Source organism: Homo sapiens, chromosome 20, assembly GCF_000001405.40.
Source record: "Homo sapiens chromosome 20, GRCh38.p14 Primary Assembly".
Classification (NCBI taxonomy): domain Eukaryota; kingdom Metazoa; phylum Chordata; class Mammalia; order Primates; family Hominidae; genus Homo; species Homo sapiens.
The window spans coordinates 50,991,973-50,996,446 of NC_000020.11; the positions used below are offsets into that span (position 1 = coordinate 50,991,973).

The window sequence follows — 4,474 nt, forward strand, 5'->3', positions numbered from 1 at the left end:
ATAAGCTTCCAGGTAGCATAGGTGTCGCTGGTCCATGGTCACAATTTGAGTAGCAAGAGTTGACAGCACCCTCAGGCTCATTGCAAACCAGCTACTTCCGGCCATAACTAGGAGAGAGAAGTTGTGACCACCCCAAAAGCACATCTGTATTTCCTAAGGCAAATACAAGCCAGCTTTCCCTCCACTGAACTGTCCAGGACTCAGGCTTGCAGTGAAAATCAGCTGCTGAATGTATTTTTGTTTAAAATCCACACACATTCTCTCACACTAGTTATTTAAAAAAATTAAAAGAAAAATCCACACACACCACATGCAGACAGCACCCATCACAGGTGCTATTTAGTTTGTTTTTCAATTGCTTGGTCCCTCCTGCTTGGGTACCATGTGTTTGCATTTTGCATTTTTTGCTTCTCCTTTTATCTCACTTTCTTTTCACCTCGCAGCAACCTGGTCAATGTGCAAATGAAAGACAGTCCCAGGGAAGAGGAAAACTCTTGCTGTGCAACCAGCTGGAAAGAGATTGAAATAAAAACTCACTTCACTTCTCCCCACCCCATTCTCTCCTGAGCAAGTAGAGGCAGGTTTGTCGAAATTGCCGGAAGGGACAATGTTGGCATTTGAGCTTCTAGGAATGTTCTTTTGGAGAGCAGGAGCACTGCCTCCAGGCCTGCTCCCTCCCACTGCTGCTTGGGAAGGATGGCTCCAGGACTGGGCGGCTCAGCCATGGTGGAACTGGGTCAGCTGTGGCTTTGGCAAGTTTCTCATCCTATCTGGGCCGCCTCTGTGAAATAGGAATAATGATTGTACCTACAGAGCTGGATATTACCTGTTTGTTCCCCCGACCCATTCTCTACCCTGAGAGACCGACTTTAGGGATTGCATCACTCAAGGGCCCTGCCTTCCGGCTTCGGCCCTGCCTTTGGCCTTCTGGTTCAGTTTGCAACGGGAGATACCAGCAGCAGATGGGTGCTGGGAAATTTACTCCCTGTTCTCTCCCTGCTCTGGGCTGCAGCTGTGAGTTTCTCTCTGACTGCAGCTCCTGACCAGGCAGATGCCTCAACAGTGCCAGGCTTGACGGTGTGTGTCAGCTATCAATTTATTGCCTCTCAGCTCCAAAGTCACCCTTCAATATCTGCTTTGCGTAATGGGCGGAGTTCCTTTTAAGCGTCATTCCTTTACAGTGAGTGCAGTGTTAAGTTTTCTCAGTAGAGGGCGCTAGAGGAACACCCCCTAGGTCTCTACTGTTTTCATCCCTCATCCGCTTTCAGACAATAGGCCAAGGCCTGGCCAATCAGAGCACTGCCTTCTCATAGCCTCACTGATTGGCTCAGGGATGGGCACACGGTCTAAACTGCTCCAATCACAGTGAGTCCCAGGACTTAGGTAGGAGCTACCCAAATGATACCTTGTGCTTTCCCATTGAACTTGAACTTGAGAAGATGAGAGGCTGGGTTGCTGCAGCCCTGTTGTCAGCATGAGGGGAGAGTCTTGAACTGCCAAGAATCGCCACAGGGAACTCAAGGGTGGAGCCAACATGGCAGAAGTTGTGAGATGGAGAGAAACTGACTTCTCATGACACAGTGTAGCTGCCCCTGAAGCTGGCAGGACCTTTGGGCTTTTCAGCTATGTGAACCTGTAGATAACCTCTCTCCAACCACCCCCCTCACCAGTGTTTTTTTGGTACAGAAGCCAGTTGGATTTTCTGCTATGTGGAAACATAGTTCTGCTGAATATAATGGCTTTAGGAAAGAAACAAAACAAAACAAAAACCATTGCTGTATTTATCCTCTTTGCCAGGCACCTTGCTGCATATCTCATTTACTTCTCTCTCCATCCTCACGCAGCCCTCAGAGGAAAGTGATCATCTCCATTTTCCAGATGAGAAAAACAATGCTCAGAGAAGTTAAGTAACTAGCTCAAGGCCACCCAGCTAGTGTGTGGTAGAAGCAGGATCCAGGCACGGGCTCCAGTGCATCATACCACTCAGTGCTGGCTGGCAGCAGAGTGGAAGCCACTCGTCCACCTGGCTCAGGGATTCTGGCAGCCACGGTGGGAGAAAGCAGGGATGCAATCTGTATGCCGAGTAATTGTACAACAGTGCAGTTCCCCCACATTCATTACCTAACTGCTAATGAAAAGATCTCCGAATTGTGGTGCTGCCAAGTCTGTTGTAGCGAAGTGTGAGAATGCATTTGTAATTAGCCGCGCCTTGCAGGCAAATGAGGAATGTGTGAAAGTCCCTTGAAATGTTATACAAAATAAGGCTAAAGCATATTCCATTATCTTACGTATGCTATTAATTGAACAGACCCTTTTCATTGTTGCTGTTGAGTTCTTGTGTGACGTTATTAACAATAGTTACTATTTATTGAGCACTTACTATGGCCCAGATACTTGGTGCTTTCTGTACTGCTTTGTTTCATGTAATCTTCACATCACTCCAACAGGGAGGATGTTATTGTTCCCTTTTTAAAGAGGATGAACTAGAAGTTCAGGGAGGTTCAATAACTTGCCCAGGGTCACACCGCAAGGCAGTGGCTTGTCAAGGAATCAAATTTGAAGTTCTCTGGCTCCAAAGCCCACGTTCCTTCTGTTTGTCCCAGCACTTGTCGTACTTTCTGCTGCTCTAGCTTGTCCCACTCACATAATAGTATGTGGCTGTTCAGTGTGGCTCCTTCAAGTGGGAGAGAGGGCCCTTCTCTGTTCTTCCTGTTACTGGAACACGGATGTGACTGCTGGATCTCTCAATTTATTCTGTCTTGAAAGCAAACCACGAAATTAAGAAAATTTTGTGGATTGTCTCTGCCTAAAGACCCATGTGCTTGGCCGATGAGACTGCTAAGTCCAGGTTTAAGACACTGTTATTGTAAAGGGTGTCGATAGGCCAGAAGGCAAAATGCTGAAGTTCACAGGACGCTGCCTGGACTTCTAATTTGGATTTGGGTATGTATCAGCCAGTAAAAATTACAGAAACCCAACCCCACTAATTTAAGTAAAAAGAGAATTTATCAGATAACATGACTAAACAGTTCAAGAAAAGGGATGTCTTCAGGAACTGCTGGATCTAGGGACTTATCGTTGTCATTAGAACCTAGTTTTTTTCTCTCTATTCCTTGACTCTGTATTCCCAGAGGAAGAGAGAGAGAGTCTTTGCTGTTTGGGCCTATAAAAATCCCCACACCCATTTTGAGGAAGGAGTCTAAGACTGGTAGCTCTAAAGTGTCCTCAAGGACCCAGGCTCCCATCTTTCTGTTCTCCCACCCTCAGTCCTTGTCTTTTATCCTTGTGGTCACCTAATGAATGGTCCAAGAGGGCTATTGGAGATCCAGCAATCACATCTATGTTCCAGTAACAGGAAGAAAAAAAAGGGCCATCTCCTCTAAGGAGGCTTCTCAAAGTTCCCTGCGAGACTTTGCTTACAAATTCCTGGCCAGGACTTATTCATCTGTACACACCTTGTTGTAAAGGAGACTGGAAAGTACAGTCTTTATTACCAGTGGCAGTGTGCCTGGATAAAACTGGGGCTCTGTTACTAAGGAGAAAGGGGGAAGTGGATGGTTGGATGGGCCACTAGAGTTTCCGTCACAGTGCCCATCACCAGATACTCAGGAAATGGATGCTGGGGAGAGCAAATACAGCACCCACTAAAGTTGGTAGTCAGTGTTGTGCCTGGGCCTAATAGCTCCTCCTTCATGAAATGAGTGTTGTTGTACAAAGAGCCCTGGATTGGTCAAAAGATTGGATTACGAATTCCAGCCTCTAACTGGCTATGTAGTTGCATAACAACACTTTGCTTCTTTTTTTTTTTTTTTTTTTTTTTGAGACAGTGTCTCACTCTTGCCCACGCTAGAGTGCAGTGGTGCAATAAGGCTCACTGCAGCCTCGACCTCCCTGGGCTCAGGTGATCCTCCCGCCTCAGCCTCCCCAAGAGCTGGGACTACAGGTGCACACCACCACACCTGGCTCCTTTTTATATTTTTTGTAGAGACAGGGTTTTGCCATGTTGCCCAGGCTGGTCTCAAACTCCAGGCCTCAAGCGATCCGCCTGCCTCCACCTCCCAAAGTGCTGGGATTGTGGGTGGGAGCCACTGCAATCCTTGGTGCTCAGCTCACTTGGCTTCTTGTGTCTGCCTTTCTCCGGCTATAAAATGGGGGTCATACTCACATCATCTGGCTATGCCTCTGGCTACAAGCGGAGAATGCCTGACTAGCAGTAGGGTGAGCAACTCATCCTGGTTTTTGTATGCCTTTTCTAATTTTCACGTGAAATATTAAATGTGAGATGAAGCATCCTGGGAAACTCTCTTAGTCCTGGGCAAACTAAGGTAGTTGGTCTCCCTCATTAGCAGTAGCTAAAATCCTAGAGACAAGCATTGTCTGGAGGTGGGCAGTATCTGGGTGAGTTCAGCAGCTCAATGCTATCTTCACGGACCCAGTAGGCTCTTTGCATCCTCAGATCCACCACCCTTAGCAT

The 4,474-nt window shown here is 47.0% G+C and overlaps 1 annotated feature.

Moving 5' to 3' along the window:
• Positions 1,140-1,434: an enhancer, noted in NCBI's record as "tiled region #8647; K562 Activating DNase unmatched - State 12:CtcfO". NCBI's record gives its function as "activates a minimal TATA promoter and a strong SV40 promoter by Sharpr-MPRA in K562 cells {active_cell/tissue: K562}" and the evidence as "EXISTENCE:reporter gene assay evidence [ECO:0000049][PMID:27701403]".